Source organism: Homo sapiens, chromosome 7, assembly GCF_000001405.40.
Source record: "Homo sapiens chromosome 7, GRCh38.p14 Primary Assembly".
Taxonomy (NCBI): Eukaryota; Metazoa; Chordata; class Mammalia; order Primates; family Hominidae; genus Homo; species Homo sapiens.
Genome location: NC_000007.14, coordinates 65638478 through 65659665, shown reverse-complemented (window position 1 = coordinate 65659665; position 21188 = coordinate 65638478). Strand labels below are relative to the sequence as shown.

The following is a 21188-nucleotide window of genomic DNA, read 5'->3' as shown; positions in this document are numbered from 1 at the left end:
AAGAAATGAAATCACTTAGAACAAAACATGAACCTAAGTCTGCAGATTCAGGCCATGCACAGTGGCTCACATCTATAATCCCAACACTTTGGGAGGCCCAGGCAGGTAGATTGCTTGAGCCCAAGAGTTCAAGACCAACCTGAGCAATATGGCAAAACCTCATCTCTACAAAAAAAATACAAAAATTAGCTAGGCATGGTGGCATGCGCTGATAGTCCCAGCTACTTGGGAGGCTGAAGTGGGAACATAACTTTAGCTCTGGAGGTGAAGGTTGCAGTGAGCTGAGATCACACCCCGGCACTCCAGCCTGGATGACAGAGCAAGACCCTGTCTCAAAAAATAAATACAGTCTGGGTGCAATGGCTCACGCCTGTAATCCCAGCACTTTGGGAGGCTGAGGCAGGTGGATAACTTGAGGTCAAGAGTTCGAGACCAGCCTGGCCAACATGGTGAAACCTCCTCTCTACTGAAAATATAAAAATTAGCTGGGCACAGTGACACATGTCTGCAATCCCAGCTACTCAGGAGGCTGAGGCAGGAGAATCGCTTGAACCTGGAAGGTGGAGGTTGCAGTGATCCGAGATAGTGCCACTACACTCCAGCCTGGGCAACAGAGCGAGACTCCATCTCAAATAATAATAATAATAATAATAAACAAATAAATACATAAGTAAGTAAGGCTGCAGGCTCAATAAACTGAGAACAGTCAATGAAGACTGACACACACAAAAATGATAATTGAATAGTTCAAATCCTAGAATGATTAAATACAGTTTGAAATAAACAAATCACTCTAGGAGTACAAACCAACTCTTTCAGTTGCATTGCAAATTATGCTTTTTTTTTGAGACAGGGTCTCACTTCTGTCACCCAGGCTGGAGTGCAGTGGCATGAGCACTGCTCACCGCAGTGTCAACTTCCTGGGCTCAGGTGATCCTCCCAGTTCACTCTTCTGAGTAGCTGGGACTACAAAAGCATGCCACCACACCCAGCTAATTTTTTATATTTTTAGTAGAGACGGTTCACCATGTTGCCCAGGTTGATCTCAAACTCCTGAGATCAAGCAATCCGCCCGCCTCAGCCTCCCAAAGTGCTAGGATTACAGGGCTGAGCCACTGCAATCAGGTGCAAATTTTCAATGTATTGAATAAAAGTGTGTAACTCACCAAAGGTTCAGCCAGGCGTGTAATCCCAGCACACTGAGATACTGAGGTGGGCAGATTACCTGAAGCCAGGGGTTCAAGACTAGCCTACCCAACATGGCAAAACCTCATCTCTACTAAAAATACAAAAAATGAGCTGGGTGTGGTGGGGCACAACTGTAATTCCGGCTATTTGGGAGGCTCAGGCATGAGAATTGCTTCAACCCAGGAGTTGGAGGTTGCAGTAAGCCGAGATCACATCACTGCACTGCAGCCTGGGCCACAGAGCAAGACCCTGCCTTAAAAAAAAAAAGTACGTAACCCACCAAAGGTTCAAAGATTTATGAAATTATCAAAAACTAGCTTCCACCGAATATTTCATATCCTTAAGTTTATTATCTTCTGTAACTGAAATTCTTCTTCTTCTTCTTTTTTTTTTTGAGAGAAAGTGTCTTGCTCTGTGACCCAGGCTGGAGTGCAGTGGTGCGATCTCAGCTCACTGCAATCTCCACTTCCCGGGTTCAAGCGATTCTCCTGCCTTAGCCTCCCTAGTAGCTGGGATTACAGGCGTGTGCCACCATGCCCGGCTAATTTTTGTATTTTCAGTAGAGATGAGGTTTCACCATGCTGGCCAGGCTGGTCTTGAACTCCTGACCCGAGGTGATCCGCCCACCTCGGCCTCCAAAAGTGCTGGGATTACAGGCACCACCGTGTCCAGACTGAACTTCTATAAATACATTAAATCTCAGAATAAATCAATATAAAACTTACTTATCAATCCAGTCCTAAAAGAAGAGACAATTTCCACTTAGCCCTTTTCTTTGTATGTGTCTAAGTCCTAAAATGGAGTCTACTACAAATGGAGCCTACTCCTACAGGTTTATTAATCCATTCTGGTTTTCAAATTTTGGCAGTTTAATGAAGAGGAAAAAACACCTCTTTTTCCTATACAAGGAAAAATAAAATATTCTATAAATATTTATAAATAAAAGATAAATATTTATAAATGTAATATTCTATCTTACAAAATATAATAAATAATATTGCCTACCTCCTCAAAGAATCACTGTGGTTAACTTAATTGCTGTGAAAATATTTTTAACCAGGAAAACTACATAAGAGATCATTATTCTCAAACTCATCTGGTATCTTTGTCTGGCATTTGGCGCAAGCCAAACTAAAATGGGTCCCAAACAATTTTAAAGATTTTTTTGTAAAGTACTGAAAACCATTTAAGAAAGATATTCCAATTTCTTCACTTATGGATGAGAAGATTAGGACAAAAGAAGTGTCTTTCCGAAGGTGTACAGAAAGTTCCTATCAGAGATGAAAAATGAGGACCAGGCAATCTGATTTTCAGGGCCTGTGCTTTTCCCTTACTCCCCATTGCCTTCCAAAAATCTAACCAACATTTCTTTTCTAGAAGTGGGCTTTTTGCATGGTGAGAGGAGAGGAAAACGGCTTCACAATCAACAAAAGCCAGCTTACACCCGCACTGACCTTTCAGGATAGAGCTGACTGACAACCCAGATAAGCTAGACTGCAGCACTGCGCACTTGTTCATAGTCATCAGAGAGTAATTTACAGGCCTGCAAAGAAGAATTCCAAAAGTCTATTAGTTCTGTGTCCTCTCAGGCAATGTTTAAACTATTTTCAAAGTGAAGATATAGGGTAGTTGGATAAGGATGCCCAGTAAAACACTTGTGTGTGGTTTTAACTTCTTGAATCTTTGCTTAAAAATGAATCTTGACCTCTGTCAGCTGCTCTGGCTATATTCTGACTATGCACTCTACCCCACATCTGGAAGGAGAATCACAGACTGACGGCATAAAAACATCTAGAACAGATCAAACCCAGCAAAGCATGCTGGGAGCCCACAGTACTGTTCTCACAGGCTCAAACACCAATTATGGGTTTTTCCTCCCCCTGTAAAAATCAAAGCGCACACTTCTGTTTACCTTGGTCTGAAATCATTGGCCTCTGTTTCAATCCACTCACTCTTTCTGGGTAGCCCCATACTCCCTAAATACTGATGGCTCCGAATACCTACCCTTAGCTCTGATTTCTCCTGATCTCCAGACCTTTATAACTACTTATGGCTGGAATTCTCTTCACGGATGTCCCATCAAACTTTTGTACCCAACACACGCAAACCTGAACTCATTAAGGAAGCAAATTCTACCTTATATCTTAAATTCTACACTATCAGTCCATCCTCACTCCCTTGATGCTGTCATTACTGCTTGCCTAGATTACTAACAGAGTCTTATGCCACCAAACATCTGAATCAGCCAACTAACTTCCGTTCCTCTGAGTCCTTACTATCCAAGTTTCCTTTAAATTACTTGGCTTCCCACATAGTATCAAAAAAAAAACCAAAAAAAAAAAACGAGGAAATAGTACATGAAAAAGCAGAATTAAAACAACTGAGTATATGTTTAAAACTGCAAAAGGTCACTTTTTCAGAAAAATATTAAAATATTAAATCTAACAAATATCTAGGCAGATTGATGGAGAAAAATACAGAAAATGCACAAAAAAACCAATTACCTGGAATGTGAAGGATACAAAACGTCAGCAGTTGTAGATTTTAAATAAGCAATGACTTTGAGTTCGACCATGATTGGGTATATTGAAAAGAATCTCTCAGAAAAAAAGAAAAAGAAAACTGTTATAAAGCTATGTACAAAATGTTAAGCACTATTGAAGTCTTCCAATTCTACCAGTTATGGAGTTATTGGTCTTGGACTAATTCTCCTGAAAAGAAAAAAACAAAACAAAACAAAAAAAACTAAAAACTGGGATAAAATAGCCTACCGTGGGCACTGGCAATGCAACCGAGCACGTAGGACATGGGTGCTACATTCTCTTTGTCAGAACACAAAGCATTCATACACTCTTCTCACCCTCACTCTCACCTTTTAATCTTAGATCTACTATTAAAAGTATTCAACATTACTATCAATCCTTTGGTCAAAATTTCTTTACTCACATTTTGCTTGATGCACTTGGATAGACTGTTCAAGAAAGTGTGAGTAGTGAATTCCTCAAACTCTTGCATATTTAAAATTACATTTTTGAGCCTTGATGCTTGAAGTGTAGCTTGGGTAACGGGTGGGCTTTAAGCCAATTTTGGCATGCAAGGGGTTGAGTTTATTAGGCATCAGCACCGCTGAAAATCGTGGGGATGCAGGCTTAATTTCAACACTATTCTAAATACTTGAAAGATATTATATAACTCTTTAATAAACTCCTGTGTCTACAAATGGTTCACATTAACTCAATATCCAAGATTAAACATCTATAAAATCAAGGCACTGTTATTTAGTGGAGACTTGCTGGTTATTCTATGAGAGGAGGTATTGTTATTGTAATCTCATCCTCTCATAAAAGTGTATCATATTACTCATAACCAGCCCTTCATATTCTATTCCTATTTTGGTATTTAAAAATAAGATATCTTTGAAACACTTGAATTCAAAGAGGGAATCTGAATAGTTTTTAAAATGTCAATGAAATGCCATTTCTTCATGCTTGAACAAATACAAATTGACTAAAGTGCTTCTCTTCAAACTTTCTGGAACATTTTTTATCTAAATTCTAGGAACAATCACAATAGGTTTTAACCACAAATGTGAGAATGTTCTAAACGTTAGGGTGGAAAATTTTTAAAATAATTTTATAGTAATTTTTTCATCATAGTGACAGTGTGCTAAATTTTTTTCAGTCAAATATTACTGTGGACATTTAAGTCAAGATTCTAAGAAGCTGTTCTACAGTCCAAAATTTAGTTTCATATACAATGATATTATACATATATTTGCATATAAAATTAATATATGTGAGCCATGTTTCAAATAGTTGAGAGATTATTATATCAAAGATTCTTGATTATATAAAATGCCAATTACTTATAGGCACACATGCTTTTAATAATTACAAAGGCAGCTGTGGTTGATTCTACTCTTGCTACTGGCATTTATATGGACATAACATTATGGTCTGAAGAATATTTAGGCAAATTTATCCCTCATATGATCAGAAGAACAATGCAAGATAGTTTATATCTGAAAGGAAAAAACCTTTATATGGTTCTGAAAGCCTAAATCCTTAACAACTTGCATAATAATTAGCATAAAAATACACAAACATGCCCTCTTCCTAGCAGTAAGTACACAGTGATAACAGAATCAAAGCATGTGGCTATGTGCATGTTTATATTTCAAGACGCAGAGCACTCTATTCCTCTTCTCTGTCCTTTCTAGATGGCACAATTCCTCATGAATCTAAGTGCAGTCATAGGGTGGATTAGGGTGACCTGCCATTTGTATGCAACTGATCTCTATTTTGGAAGCAATTAATGTAAAAATATATTTTTACAAGATAATTTCAAATTTCAGGGCAAACTAGCATGGTTTCACTCCTTTTCTTTGTAACATTTTTTCTAAGGTTGGAAAAGTAAGGCTTTAGTACGATTTTTAATAATAAGTTTTCAAAGTGAGACGCAAAATGGTGGCGCCAACACATTTCAAGTCTGCTACATTTTGAATACACTTATTGGAGAAAAGACCTTCTCATCATTTTTCTCTTACAGGAAAGGAAATAACATGTACAGTTGACCCTTAAGCAACACGGAGGTTGGGGTGCTGGCCCCCCTACACAGTAGAAAATCCACTATAACTTTGACTCCCCCAAAACTTAACTACTAATAGCCTACTGTAAGCCTTACAAATAACACAAGCAGTCAATTAACACATATTTAATATGTTATATGTCTTATATACTGTATTCTTAACAAACATGCCAGAGAAAAGAAAAAGAAAATCATAAGGAAAATATATTTACTAGTTATTAAATGGAAGTACATGATCAAACAGGTCTTCATCCTCATCCTTTTCATGGGCAGGGTGTGGAGAAGGATGTAGAATTGTTGGTTTTGCTAAGTGGACCTGCACAGTTCAAACCCCTGTGGTGCAAAGGCCAACTGTAAAGCCATTGAATAGCAATTTAGTTTTAGAAATTAACCTCACTAAAATACTCTTAGAAGGATGCCAAGAAAAAAAATGAATAAGTATTTTTGGTTCATCTATTTCATCATTTCATTTAATTTCCTCATTTCATTTCATCCTTTCATCATTTCGTTGCATCATTTCATTTCATCATTTCATCTCATCATTTCATTTCATTCTTTCATCATTTCATCTCAACATTTCATTTCATCATTTCACTTCATCTCATCATTTCATCATTTCATCTCATGATTTCATTTCATCTCATTTCATCTTTTCATCTCATTTCATCTTTTCATCTCATTTCATTATTTCATCCTTTCATCATTTTGTTGCATCATTTCATCTCATCATTTCATTTCATTCTTTCATTTCATTTCATCCTTTCATTTCATTTCATCATTTCATCTCAACATTTCATCATTTCACTTCATCTCATCATTTCATTTCATCTCATTTTATTTCATCTTTTCGTCATTTCATTTCATCATTGCATCTTTTCATCTCAATTCATTTTTCATCAATTCATTTCATTTCACTTATTTCATCATTTCATCATTTCACTTCATTTCATTTAATATCATTTCATCATTTCATATCATTTCATCATTTCATCTTTCCATTTCATCATTTCATCATTTGACTTATCATTTCATTTCATCATTTCATTTCCTCATTTCATCATTTCATTTCATTGCATCCTTTCATCATTTCATCTCATTTCATCCTTTCATTTCATTATTTCATTTCATCATTTCATCTCATCATTGCATTTCCTCATTTCATCATTTCACTTCATCTCATTTCATAATTTCATCTCATGATTTCATTTCATCTCATTTCATCTTTTCATCTCATTTCATCATTTCATCTTTTCATCTCATCATTTCATCAATTCATCATTTCATCATTTCGTTAATCATTTCACTTCATTTCATCATTTCATATCATTTCTTCATTTCATCATTTGATCTTTTCATTTCATTTCATCATTTCACTTCATCATTTCATTTCTTCATTTCATTTCCTCATTTCATTTCACCATTTCATCATTTCATTTCATCATTCCATTTCATCATTTCATCATTTCATTTCATCTCATCATTTCATTATTTCATCAATTCATTTCATTTACTTCATCATTTCATCATTTGACTTCATTTCATCATTTCATCATTTAATATCATTTCATCATTTCATTTCATATCATTTCATCATTTCATCTTTCCATTTCATCATTTCATCATTTGACTTATCATTTCATTTCATCACTTCATCATTTCATTTCATCCTTTCATCATTTCATCTCATTTCATCCTTTCATTTCATTATTTCATTTCATTTCATCTCATCATTGCATTTCCTCATTTCATCATTTCACTTCATCTCATCATTTCATAATTTCATCTCATGATTTCATTTCATCTCATGATTTCATTTCATCTCATTTCATTTCATCTTTTCATCTCATTTCATCATTTCATCTTTTCATCTCATCATTTCATTTCATCAATTCATCATTTCATTATTTCATTAATCATTTCACTTCTTCATTTCATATCATTTCTTCATTTCATCATTTGATCTTTTCATTTCATCATTTCATTTCATTTCATCATTTCACTTCATTTCATTTCTTCATTTCATTTCCTCATTTCATTTCACCATTTCATCATTTCATTTCATCATTCCATTTCATCATTTCATCTCATCATTTCATCCTTTCATTTCATTATTTCATTTCATCATTTCATCTCATCATTTCATCATTTCACTTCATCTCATCATTTCATCTCATGATTTCATCTCATCATTTCATCTCATGATTTCATTTCATCTCATCAATTCATAGCATCTTTTCATCTCATTTATTTCATTTCATCTTTTCATTTCGTCATTCATTTCATCATTTCGTCAATTCATTTCATTTCCTTATTTCATCATTTCATTATTTCACTTCATTTCATCATTTCATTCCATCATTTCATATCATTTCTTCATCATTTCATCATTTCATTTCACTTCATTTCACCATTTCATCATCATTCCATTTCTCATTTCATCTTATCATTTCATTTCATCATTTCACTTCATCTCATGATTTCATCATTTCATCTCATGATTTCATTTCATCTCATCATTTCATCTTTTCATCTCATTTCATTTAATCATTTCGTTTCACCTTTTAATCTCGTCATTTCATTTCATCATTTCATGTCATCAATTCATCATTTCATTTCATTATTTCCTCATTTCATCATTTCACTTCATCACTTCATTACATTTCATCTCATCATTTCATATCATTTGTTCATTTCATCATTTCATCTTTTCATTTCATTGTTTCACTTCATCATTTCATCATTTCATATCATTTCTTCATTTCATCATTTCATCTTTTCTTTTCATCATTTCATTTCATTATTTCACTTCATCAGTTCATTTCATCATTTCATTTCATTTCCTCATTTCATTTCACCATTTTGTTTCATCATTTCATTATTTCATTTCATCATTCGATTTCATCATTTCATTTCATCATTTTATCATTTCATTTCATCTCATCATTTCATCATTTCATCATTTCATTTCATTTCATCATTTCATCATTTCGTTTCTTCATTTGATCATTTCATTTCATCATTTCATTTCATTTCAGTGATACATGTATTTAAGTGCTAATGTGATGCCCAGGAGACACCCTATTTCCCTTTGTAAAACACCTCCTTCAACAAAAGGCAACCTCTCATGGCTGGCTAAGTCTACAGGGATACCAGCCTCTCTTCAACCACCCAGTTTGATTTAGAACCTCAAACAGCACCTCAGTTTCATAAAAACCTAAAACATAAAACACAACACTTGGTTGTAAGTGAGCCAACAGTTTCTTGTCTCTTTCTCTGCTCAAGGCTTAAGGCCGTGTCTCCCCAACTACGTTCAGTGGAAGAAAAGATCCCCTGGACAAATAAGTTTGAGAACTGTTGTTGCAGGACTTCTCAGAACCTTTAAAACACAAATCCTCATCCGCAGGGATCTTCAGGAGGGAGATGGCTGGTGCAGCACAACTTTCTTTCACAGGAGCATCTTGCAGAATACAGTATGAGATACAGAAAGGCTGCACTGAGTCTTTTTAAGGGCCCGGGCCTTGGTGCGGGTGGGGAAGGAGCTCTCCAGATAGCATCTAATGAGTAGGAACATTCAGGTGGCTTTTTTTTTTTCCTTATTGGCAAAACTGTGTGTGCACCATGAATGAAGCTGGACTCCCTTATCCATATCAAAACTAAACCCAAATTAATTGGCTAAATTGGGACTCAACACCTCCAGGAGCCACATGGAAGAAAGCCCCACCACACTTTAAAGTAGCTTACCTCATCATATTTGAGGAAAGCAAAACGCTTATGACCAGTATGCTGCTAATACAAGTCTACAGATAATGCTGTATGAAAAATTATTTTTCCCAATCATGGCTGGCATAGTCCACATTTTGCATTACACTTTCCCCCCTTTTTTTAAATTTTAAGCACAGGTCTTTTTTTCTTCTTTTTTTAAATTTTAATTTAATTATACAAGACGGAGTCTCAGTATGTTGCCCAGGCTGGTCTTGGACTCCTGAGCTCAAGTGATACATCCGTCTCCGCCTCCCAAAGTGCTGGGATTACAGGCCTGAGACACTGTGCCCGGCCTTAAACACAAATCTTAATTCATTCTTACAACTATCCTGAGGTTAGAAAAATGGAAGGGGAAGAAAAATGGCAAGCAGGCAGGCTGACTTCGGCTTCATTATTTGGAAGGACAGTTTGCTTGGTTAAAACACACTACTGCCCACAAAGGCCAAGACAACAGAAAAATACAGACTTATATAAATAGATTTTATATGTGACAGCAGTTTGAATGGAGACTTTTTCAATGCAAATGACAAACAGCTGTCCTTGGGAATAAATGACAACGAATTTTTTTATCTCAACAGCTGTCCTGAGAGCACGTCTCTACATCTCTACCTGCATTCTGGAAACCGGGAGAAAGCCAAAACGGATGACAAGACACTAGATCAGCCGTGTCCAACCCTGTGACTACAAGGACTTTTCCGCCTATCTTTGGTGGTGGGTATCATCAAAATTCTGCACAAACCTTTTTTTTTTTTTTTTTTTTAAGCTCATTAGCTGTTGTTAGCATTAGTGTATTTTATGTGTGGCCCAGGAGCATTCTTCTTCCAATGTGGGCCTGAGAAGCCAAAAGACTGGACACCTGTGCACTAAATCAAAAGGCTATTCCTTCTGGAAGCAATTGTAAAGAATTTCTCACATTATCTTGACATGAAAACCAATGCATAGTGGGACAGAATGCAAAATCTTCAAGAATTTTTGTTGTTGTTGTTGTTGTTTTTGAGTCAAGGTCTTGCTCTGTGGCCCAGGCTGGAGTACACTGGTGAGATCACAGCTCAGTGCAGGCTCAAGTGCTCCTCCCGCCTCAGCCACAGTACTAGCTGGGACTACAGATGCGCACAGCCACCCCTGGCTAATATTTTATCTTTTGTAGAGACGGGGTCTCACTGTATTGTCCAGGTTGGTCTCAAACTCTTTGACTCAAGGGATCCAGGACAGGATAACAGGTGTGAGCCACCACACCTGGCCATGTGCATGAACTTTTAAGACAAACACAAGGCCCCACAAAAGGTAAGGTTTTCCCACCTAATTTCCAGGGGATCTTTTGGTGCAAGGATGAGAAGCCCTTAAAAGTACACAGACAACTCCAAAGATTCAAGACAGTTCATTCGGGCTGAGCCAGCCCACTGGGCAGACAGACCTTCAAGAAAGGCCCACGCATGACATACACCAGATGGCTCTCCAAGAATCGCTTCAGTCCTCAGGGTCCCTAAGGTACTGGACAGAGCTAGGAAAGCAAACCCATTTGCTTCTTCCTGCACGAAACCCCTTGAGGTCAAGACCCCACAATCAGACGAGGATGGAGTGGCTCACCCTCAGTCAACAGGCCAGACTCAAGGTGGTATAATGACTTAACCAAGGGTGTGGGACTCCAGGTCTGACTCCCAACTCAGTTCTCCTTTAATAACCACACTTTGGTAATTCTCCTTAACAGGGGTTCCTGGCAAGTCAGTTCTCCCTCAGGCCTTTGGTTTCCTCACCTACAAGATGAGAGGGCCGGACCAGATGGAAATTCGGGGGGTAAGGGGATGTCCGCGCGCAGCCCACCCCCACCCCCCCGACCCGCCCCACGGGACCCTAGCGCCTCCATCCCAGTTCCCACCAAGCACCCGCCCCACAAATCCTGCCCAAGGTGAGGGCTGGTCCCGGGTCTCTCGGCTGCCGCATCAGCGAGTGCAGGAGGGAGGGGAAGCCTCCAAGGGCGCGACGCGGGCTCAAGGATGCAACTCGGCCAGGAGTGAACTGGGGCCTCAAGGGAGGTGTCCGGGCCGCTCCTCGAGCCCAGCCCGGGTCCCCAAACCCCTTACCTCCAGGGTCCGTATCTCCTGCTCGGTGAGGTCGTTGGACACAGCGCACTTGGTGCCCAGCCCGCGCAGGCTGCCAATGGAGATGCCGATGAGCTTCTGGAGCTGTCCGCACTGCTGCAGCCCCGGGCTGGCCGGGGCCCCTGCGCCACCCTCAGCGGCCGCTGCATCACCCCCGCCACCGCCCTCCTTCTTCTCTCCCATCGCCTCCGCGCGCAGTGCCGCCCTATGCAGGCCACAGCGGCCGAGGCAGGGAGCCCGGGGCTCGGGCGCCTAGGCAAGGAACCCCCGAGCCGGGAGAGCTGGACCGGGAGCGCCCCTCGGCGCTGCCCTTGCCAGGACGCCAGTAGAGCTGGCAGCGGAGTCTGCCGCTCCCGCCCTCAGAGCCGCGGCGGCGGGAGCAGAAAGCCGCGGCGGCAAAAAGCCGCGGCGACGGGGGGCAAAAAGCCGCGGCGGCGCAGGCAAAAAGCTTAGGCGGCGGGGGCAAAAAGCCGCGGCGGCAAAAATGCGCGGCGGCGGGGCAAAAAGCCGCGGCGGAAGAAAGCCGCCGGGGCGGGGGCAAAAAGCCGCGGCGGGGGGGACAAAAAGCAGTGGGAGCTGGGGCAAAAAAACCACAAAAAGCCGCGGCGGCGGGGACCAAAACGCCGCGGCGGCGGAGGCAAAAAGCTGCAAAAGCCGCGGTGTGGGGGCAGAAAGCCGCAGCGGGAGAAAGTCTCACTCCAAATTCCCTTGCTTCAGTAAGCTTCTCTAGGCCAATGTTCCTTCGGCATTACCCATTTTCTTCCTGTGAATGCAAATCACATAAACATGGAAGTACATTTGACCATTTTAATTGTTTAACATTCCATGTCACACGACCTTCCACAATAGAATCAATGTATTAAAATGTGTTAACGACCACACATTTTACACAAATGCCATGAATCCTTAAGGTGTTCCAATTTATAAAATATGTCTGCAAATCATACTTTATGATGCTTTGTATTCTGTCGGTAATTGGATGTCATATATTTAAATTCTATTAAACTGCTTATTAAAATGTCCAGTGCCTCTTTTCTTGCATGGCCACAAATATTGTCACTTTAAATCAGCACCTTTCAAAGTTAGTTTCATGACGACTCAAGATACTTTAAACTATTTTAGAAAGTCTCAAAATAATTCAAAAATAATTCATTTAGTTAACATATTTTGTAAATATACATATTCTATGTATTAATTTAAATTTGGAATAAGTCAAGGAAGAGATATAAAATGTCTTTAAAAGGTATTACAACTGTAAGTAATCAAAGAAGGAAAAACAAACAAACAGAATAAACTGTTAAAGGGCCAGAATACTAGGAAGAACTTAAAAAGTAGTAAGCAATACATACTTCCTCACCTATATAATATCAAAGAGTTTGGGATACCCACAGAAGCGACTGTGAAAACCTCTGAGACCATCCTCTGTGTTGGTGTCTCCTTAAATCAATGGGATAAATACTGAAAATCTTGTCCAATAGCAATCCAATTTAAGAAGTCACCATAGGTATAAATAGCAAACAATTATATGTTCCCCATCATGGCCAAATGTATCATGTGAGCCATATGTGAGCCATCTACAAAATCAATTATTCAGCAATTCAGTTCATTTCATTGAGACAATATTAATAAAAGGATCAAAAGAACTATCGTCTGATTATGTCATACACAATAAATCACCAACTATTTATCAAAAACTGTTCTTTCCATTCTACCTCTGTGGTTATTGCCTTAGGTCAGACACCATCACCTCTCACCTGAATTAATGTATTAAGTTTTTAATGGGTCTCCCTATCTCCAATCTCACCAACCCCAGATTACCCTTTAATGATTTCACATTACCTTGAAAATAACTAGGCACTTATTTTTGTGCTCTGGTACAAAAATGCCTTTGTCTGTTGCCACACAGGCCATTATCTCATGGAAAACCTGTTTTCCAGCTGTGTTGAATTCAGTAGTATTCATAGACCCAACACAATCTCTTCTTGTCTTTAATGTGACGTTTATCCTGAAAAGAGTGCTTTTCTCTCACACTCCCTGTATATCTGGTTGGCTTATCCTTGAATACCCTACTCAAACTTTACCTTCCCCAAGCACAGTTTTCCATGGTCTCCTCAATGCTGAGCTGCCCTTCTCTGTGGTCCTTTTGCAACAGCTACCAAGCCATTTCTTACATGGCATTTACTGTCTCCTCTCCTAGAACAATTTCTTAAGACTAGAAACCATGTCTTAATTATCTTTGTGTCCTAGTATCTGAATGTCTGCAATATGGAAAAAACACTCCACTGGTGTTTGTTCAAAGGATGAATAAATAAACATTTCCTAAAATTGCCTGATACTAAGAATCGCTCAGGTGCTAATTAAAAATTCAGATCGCCAAGCTAAGATTTATATTGACCAGTATGAATTGAGGCAGAAGATTTTGTACATTTATCAGGTATCCCAAATGATTTTCATAATGAGGAAACTGAGAGAATTTAATCATAAGAGATAGGAAAATCTGTCTTTGCATGAAATTTCTCTGTCCTCCGTCCATGGGTTACTTGTTTTTGAGGTATCCATGAGGATACTCCTCCCCCTTTATCTGATACCTAACTGTGCTGTGCAAGAAAAACAAAACAATTTTTCATCATATAAGGGCATGAGGCTAATCTATCCTTAGCTCAGAATATAAACTCAGCAAGGGGCTTAAATATGATTTCAACATTGTTTGTATTCTTTCAGCTAGCGTTTTCAATGTGGCCTAAAAATGTCATGACTCAGAGTACTTATTTGTAGAATTGCTTCAAAATTTTATCTAAACCATTATAATTTCACACCTGGCATTGAAACTACCTAGTTTGCCTGCAAGAACTCCACTTACTTGGCAAATATACAGTACTTGCTGAGACTAACTTAGTGTGTAATGCTTTATCCTATAACTCTAGGAATACAAACATTTAAAAAAAAAAAAAAGGCTGTTCCATGTTGCCTCTATTCAGCATACCTTACTCCTAATTTCCTGCAATACTCTCTTCACCTCTACCACTCAGGGGAAACTTTTTTTCTGAAAGTCACAAAGAAGCTCTGAATTACCAAATCTAACAAATTTTCTTCCCATATCCATTGGCTTCTAACTAACAGTACGAGGCAAGTCTTTCTTCAATGCCCATTCCTTGTTGGATTCCTGGCCTTCCTATTTCTCTCTCTGCAACTTTTTGGTCTCCTTCATAAACGTATTCTTTTGTTTTGCCTGCTTCTAAATATGTTTGTTCTATTTTGGAATCTAAACGTGTTGGCCTAGCAGTAAAGTTCTTCGAAATTTGCCAATCTGTTTGGATCTTATCACACTAAACTCCTCTCCGTGTATCCTATGATTTGAGCTGGCACTCGTCAGATGTGGTTTTAAAATGTATACTAATTAAAATTAAATAGAATAAAAACTTCAACTCCTCAGTCACACTATCCACATGTCAAGTGTTCAACAGCCACTAGTGGCTACCATATTGGACAGAACGTTCATACAACATTGCCTTCATGGACAAAAGTTCTATCGGACAGTGCTAGTCTAGACAACTGGAGTACTCAAATTTCTCATCTCTACACTTTAGCTCATTCTATTCTCTGTCTACCTAAAATGCTGTCCACCAATCATATCTCTTCCTATTGAGGTATGACTCGTTCTTCAAGATTTATTCTTAATATTTACCTGTCTCCAAAGTCTTTACTTATCACTCTAGCTGAAAGTATGGCAGCCCACCTATGAACTCTCAAAGTTGTTTATACTACTACTCTCCCCCATGTTGTTTTGTTCTGTCATTATTGGTGCAAATGCCTGCTTTCCTTGATTAGAGATATAATGTGTGAAGAGTTGATTGATAGTTGCCAACTGTCATTGAGCACTTTGAACATGTGAAGTTAAGTGCTTGATCATAGTTCTCACATCCTCATAACTCCCCTGTGAAATATATGGTGTTTTTTCATATCCGCGTTAAAGAAACTGGGATTTACAATGATGTAACATTGGACAAATTAAGGTCTCAGGACAGGAGGTCACGGAGTGATGAGCCCTGAATTACTCTAGGTGGGTTTAACTCCAAAGCCCATGCCCTTACCCAGGGGAACACACTGCTTCTGAAGATCTCATTCACCATGTTAATGACCACACCCCCGCCAACCCCACCACGTGCCTCCTAACACTAGGCATGCTCCATGTGTGATGAGTGAATAGATGACTAATACTTCGTATGCTTAAGGTCATTTACAATTCACAAAACTTGTTGACAGCTATACTTGATTTCCATATGATTTCCCCAACATCTCTGACGCAGCTCCACAGGAAATGTTATCTCCATTTCACAGAGGCTGAGAGAGTTCAGAGTCCTCCAGAAGCTCACATTGCTATTTAGTAACAGGCATAGACAGGACTTCAGCCCACGTGTTCTGCCTTCAAGTTCTGCCAGCCTTTCTTCAAAACCCTCTGTGAGTTTGAAACTCATCAACAATCAGCAAAGGCTCAAAGTGTTATTGTATCTTAATATGTCTTTTTTGTTGTTTTTTTGAGACAGAGTCTTGCTCTGTCGCACAGGCGGGAGTGCAGTGGCGCCATCTCGGCTCACTGCAACCTCCATTTCCTGGGTTCAAGCGATTCTCCAGCCTCAGCCTCCCGAATAGCTGGGATTATGGGCACCCGCCATCATGCCTGGCTAATTCATTTGTGCTTTTAGCAGAGATGGGATAGGGTTTCACCATGTTGGTCAGGCTGTTCCCGAACTCCTGACCTCAAGTTATCCACCCATTTTGGCCTCCCAAAGTGCTGGGATTACAGGCATGAGCCACCGCACCCAGCCTTAAGATACTGTCTTCTAAAACTTGCCCTTTTTATTGTTTAAAAAACATGATGAGGCCGGGCACGGTGGCTCACGCCTGTAATCCCAGCACTTTGGGAGGTGGAGACAGGTGGATCACCTGAGGTCAGGAGTTCGAGACCAGCCTGGCCAATATGGGGAAACCCTATCTCTACTAAAAATACAAAAATTATTTTTAGTTTTTGTATTTTTTGAGATTGCAGTGGTGGGCCCCTGTAATCTCAGCTACTCGGGAGGCTGAGGCAGGAGAATTGCTTGAACTCAGAAGGCGGAGGTTGCAGTGAGCCAAGATGGCGCCATTGCACTCCAGCCTGGGCCACAGAGTAGTGAGACTCTGTCTTGGGGTGGGGTGGGGGGAGGGGGCGGCGGGGAAGAAAAAACAACATGATGAGGCTTAATTGTTTATGTCTAAGGGAGGGGGAGAGGCAATTTAGTCAAGTTTTCAGTGCTTTTAAATAGCCACAGATTTCAATCTTTATCATATTGTTTTTGCCCTAACCCTATTAGGATAACTTGCTTACATTAAACAAAATTCTGAGAATGTTAATTAGCAATTCAGTTATGAATATGCATGATTATTTTTAAGTCCACTAATATTATGCATAGGTCTTTTCTGTAATTATATCTAAATGTTCTCTTTTTTTCTCTCCCTCTCTATTTCTCCTTCAGGAAAGCCATTTAAAACACATTTGGGAAATGTCTGAAAAAAGTAATTCTATTACTCTTATTTCCAGAATTTTCTTAAATATTTTATGGCTATAATTTTTTCCTTCTCAAGGCAAAACAGTACATCACCACATACATTATCATATTTGTTGACAAATATGAGAGTCAAGGAATTAATTTTACACCAGTTAAATAACAGAAGAAAAAGTTATTCTGTATTTTCTTCTTTATTATACTAATTTTCTCACATCCGTAAATGGTTTTATATTTTGTGGCTATCTGCAATTATATTTAAGGGCGAGTATTATACCACCATTTGTTTCACATCCAACTTGGAGCATTTTGTATTTGTGTATACATATAAGGTTAGTCAGGAGTGAGAGATAGGATTAAACTCATCTAGTTTGCGTGCCCTTTCTCAGTCACAATGCAGTCTTTACAAACAATTTTTCCTTTAACAGAAAAACTGAAAACATGTCTAAAAAAATAATTTGCCTTAAGACAACCCTTCTAGGAAATGGCGAAGATCTGTTTCAAACCCAGGCCTGCCTCATGCCAAAGCCTGTGACCTTTTCACTATTAATGACCAAATGGTTGAATGACTGTTAAATAAGTCTCTTGGGTAAAACATAAACGTGCCTGATACCCCTTCATTAAAATGTTTATTAGATAAATAAATAAATTGGTGGACGGAGCTCAATATAATCAGCTCATTTGCCTCCACACCAAAAGAGAACATTTTCAAATGAACATGCAGGAGGAATACATGATTACAAAAATGCTTCAGCAATGATTTTGCTTTTATAGGATTACTCGTCCCAAGTTCGATAGTCTTAATGCACATGCAATTTGCTTGAAGTCTATAATGCCCTTGCATTTCAAGCTGAGGAGTCTGATCATCTGGAAACTAAAAATTAAGGATCTGAAATATTGTTAACTAAATAGATTGAACTAAAATTAGCCTCTTAGGACTTAAAGTGCTTCCACATAAAGTCCAAGAGCTAGAAACGAGAATGATGTTCCCTACAACCAAATATTGCCTTAATTCCAAATTTAGCTTCTGCCACTTGATCTAATGTTACATCAAGGCACATGAGCCCTCTGCATGTGAAGAGCTTACACCAATTTGAAGCAAATGCATCACATGAGCAAGAATGCAAATTCCAATAGTAATAATGTTTCTTTCACTATTTATTTCATTCCTTATTTTTCATACTTGTTGCCACTTTGTGAACCTGCCTCCAATCACTTTACACTGGCTTATTTTAAAAGCCTTTTAACTGTTCTCCTTACTGTCACCCTTTTTTCCTAATTCCACTGCTCCTACAAATGGTTGCTAGAAAAATCTTCCCCAAACACAGCTTTTATCACAGGCTCAAAAACCTATCACAATTCTCTAATGCCTGGTCTATAAGACTCTTAAAGTCTTTCCCCCTTCTCACCAGCCTAGTCTCTCCCTGAGGCAGTTTCTCTATTAAGAAGAAACAATATTTTGCTATGCCCTGTATTTTCTTTTCTGTGCCTTTTGGCATGCCAGTGCTAGTGATCCTAACGTAGAGCTTTCAAACATGCTTTGCAAATTATCTTTGATGTATTTTCATATGGGTGTAGTATCAGCCTCTGTATTAGTCAGGGTCCCAGAAAAAAACAGAATTCATCCCAGAGTGTTCAAATAAAGAGATTTTAATAAAGGAGTTATTTGCATTAATTGTAGACAGACTTAAGGAGCAAACAAGGTGGCAGGGCACCCAAAGGATAGCAATGGTGAGAATATAATACTACCCCTAGGGATAAACAGTCAAGGAAAAGGAGCAGTGTTTCCTTAGGAGCCCTGCATCAGAAGAGGTACAGAGGAGAACAGGGCGAAGGGAGTTATATCCTGAAAGGACATGATCACGGCCAGCGCACAGGGCCGAAGTAGGACCTGAAGAAGAAATACCCTGACTTCTTTCTCTTCCTGCCCTCCAATATCCTGCTAAAGCCTTCCATAGGCCCCACCCAAGACAAACACAGAGAGCAGAGAGTCCCAGTCATGCAAATGACAAGGGTCAGCTTCCCAGAGCACACGGAAGACATGGAATAGTGTTGAGTGCATGGGGGCATGGCAAATGGAGAACAATTTGCACAGTCTGAGCTAGACTGTAGCCTTCTGGAGGATGGCAATTTCTGAGATACCCCACATTTGGAGTAAGAGAACAGCCGCAGACCTCACTCTATGTGCCACTTTGAGCAACTTTGCTTAGTTAGAAGCTATTTCCTTACCTTTAATATAAGAGTAATACTCAGTTTGTATAATAGTCCTGGACATCCAGTGAAAAAATGTGTATAAAATATCTTGTCCCATAAGTGCTAAATAAATTGTAACTACTGCTGTGACTGACTAAATAAAAATTATATATGTATAAGTATAAAACCTCTTACAAAACATGTAATAATAAAAGAATGAGTCATAAAAGACAAGAATCAATGAGTGTTAATGGTCACCTTTGTTGCTCACCTCTACCCTCCATCCCCTGGCCTTAACAAATATGGCAGGACATCTTCAGGATTTGGCAGGCAGATGATTTATTTTACACTAGTGACTTGGATGCCATTCCTCTTCCTTCCACTCAGTAACAGACGGCGCCCTGGACAGCAGTGACATCTGCAGCCCCAAGGGAGAAGGGTCAGCACAAATTTTAATTTTGCTTTTGGTTTGGGGCTTTAAGTACACAAAGAGGTTTTTTTTTTTCCCTGTCAGTTTGCATCTAGCTTCGCATCTGACATTTTTTAATGCTTTATGTATTTGGATTGACCTAGAAATTTATAGCTTCAGGTTTTTGCTTATTTTGCTCTGTCTCTAATTCAACCTCCTTGATTTAAAAATAAAAGCCAAAATATAACATGAACAAATACTCTATTTGTCTGTATCACTAAGGGGGTAAGGAAGAGGTCATTCTGCTCTTTTTGAGCTACTTCTTATTACCATATATTAACATTTGAATATCTTCAATAACAAGAAACAAGAATACTAGGGATAACCTATAAAAATCTGAGTAAAATTTGACTCATCGCTAAAAAAAACCTTAAAAGCTAAGAGGAGAACATTTACAAAAATTGTTATGTTCACTGACAAGGCATTAGATTTCAGACTAATTGCTGCTATGAGAATAATAGATAGATACACACATACATAAAGCTTTATTTTCAGAAGGTCAAGTATCTACACCAAATGTTTCATCCTCCAGAGTTCAGTTTCAGGGAAATCTCTACAATAGCAGAGCCTCCTGATGTTTGTTGTGGCCACATTTGGAGCCATCAAAATTTCCTACTCAGGCATCCCACAGAGAAAAAGCATCTACCCCTAAGAATGTGAAATAGTATCCTCATTACTGAGTTGATTACTCATCAACCTTAATAGTATTTGTAATTCGCCTTTACCCTGGGGCAGTTTTCAAAGGTCATGGGGAAGGCTGAAGGCTGTGTCTATAAGACAGTTTGATCAAAATAGAACTAAAGGCTGGCCTCAGGTAGCTGTTTCTAATCTGAGTTGGTCAGAGGACAATGAAAACTACAGTTCATGCCCAGATGTTCTCCTTGGTCAAGGGGAGACTGGCTAGACAGAGTCAGATCTTAAGGGTCATTTCTGATTGGCCTCCATCCAGAGTATGATAACAAAACTCAAGAAGCTTCGCAGATAAATAATGATGTAACTAATTTAGGTGTTTAGATAAATCATTCCAAGTCTCCTTTGTCTGCTTAGGACTGATTTTCCTGGGCTAGGTAAACACCCTGAATTTACAAGAGAATGTTCAGCCTCATTTTAACTCTGCAACTGGTAGAAGAAGAAGAAATAGGCCTTCTTCTATTTTGATGGTAGAAAGACAAATAAAATGACATGCATAAGTCATTTAGAGTAGTAAAGCAAATAATCAACAATTCACAGGATTGAATTGTATGATAAGAAGACATATGGAATTTCTCATCCTGGTTCTTTTCTTTGTCCCTTTTGTAAGTTACTTACTCCAATTGATTCCAGCTTTTCAATCTGTAAAAAAGGGAT

The 21188-nt window shown here is 38.9% G+C and overlaps 1 long non-coding RNA gene and 1 pseudogene across 2 annotated transcripts in view, besides 1 other annotated feature; one reads left to right on the top strand and one right to left on the bottom strand.

Moving 5' to 3' along the window:
* Window positions 1–11812, bottom strand: part of INTS4P2 (integrator complex subunit 4 pseudogene 2) — a 70835-nt pseudogene extending 59023 nt beyond the window's left edge. The window contains exon 1 of the transcript NR_027392.2: window positions 11619–11812. The product of NR_027392.2 is annotated as an integrator complex subunit 4 pseudogene 2 (transcript). The remainder of the gene's footprint in view (window positions 1–11618) is intronic.
* The window catches only part of LINC03006 (long intergenic non-protein coding RNA 3006), a 123801-nt gene extending 111145 nt beyond the window's left edge, over window positions 1–12656 (top strand). Inside the window, exons 5-8 of the long non-coding RNA NR_038378.4 lie at window positions 10116–10248; window positions 10685–10821; window positions 11246–11331; window positions 11625–12656. This is a non-coding gene — a long non-coding RNA (long intergenic non-protein coding RNA 3006). The remainder of the gene's footprint in view (window positions 1–10115; window positions 10249–10684; window positions 10822–11245; window positions 11332–11624) is intronic.
* Window positions 20215–20773: an enhancer, noted in NCBI's record as "NANOG hESC enhancer chr7:65103805-65104363 (GRCh37/hg19 assembly coordinates)". NCBI's record gives its function as "activates a minimal SCP1, AML or CMV promoter by ChIP-STARR-seq in primed H9 embryonic stem cells {active_cell/tissue: H9 hESC(primed)}" and the evidence as "EXISTENCE:reporter gene assay evidence [ECO:0000049][PMID:30033119]".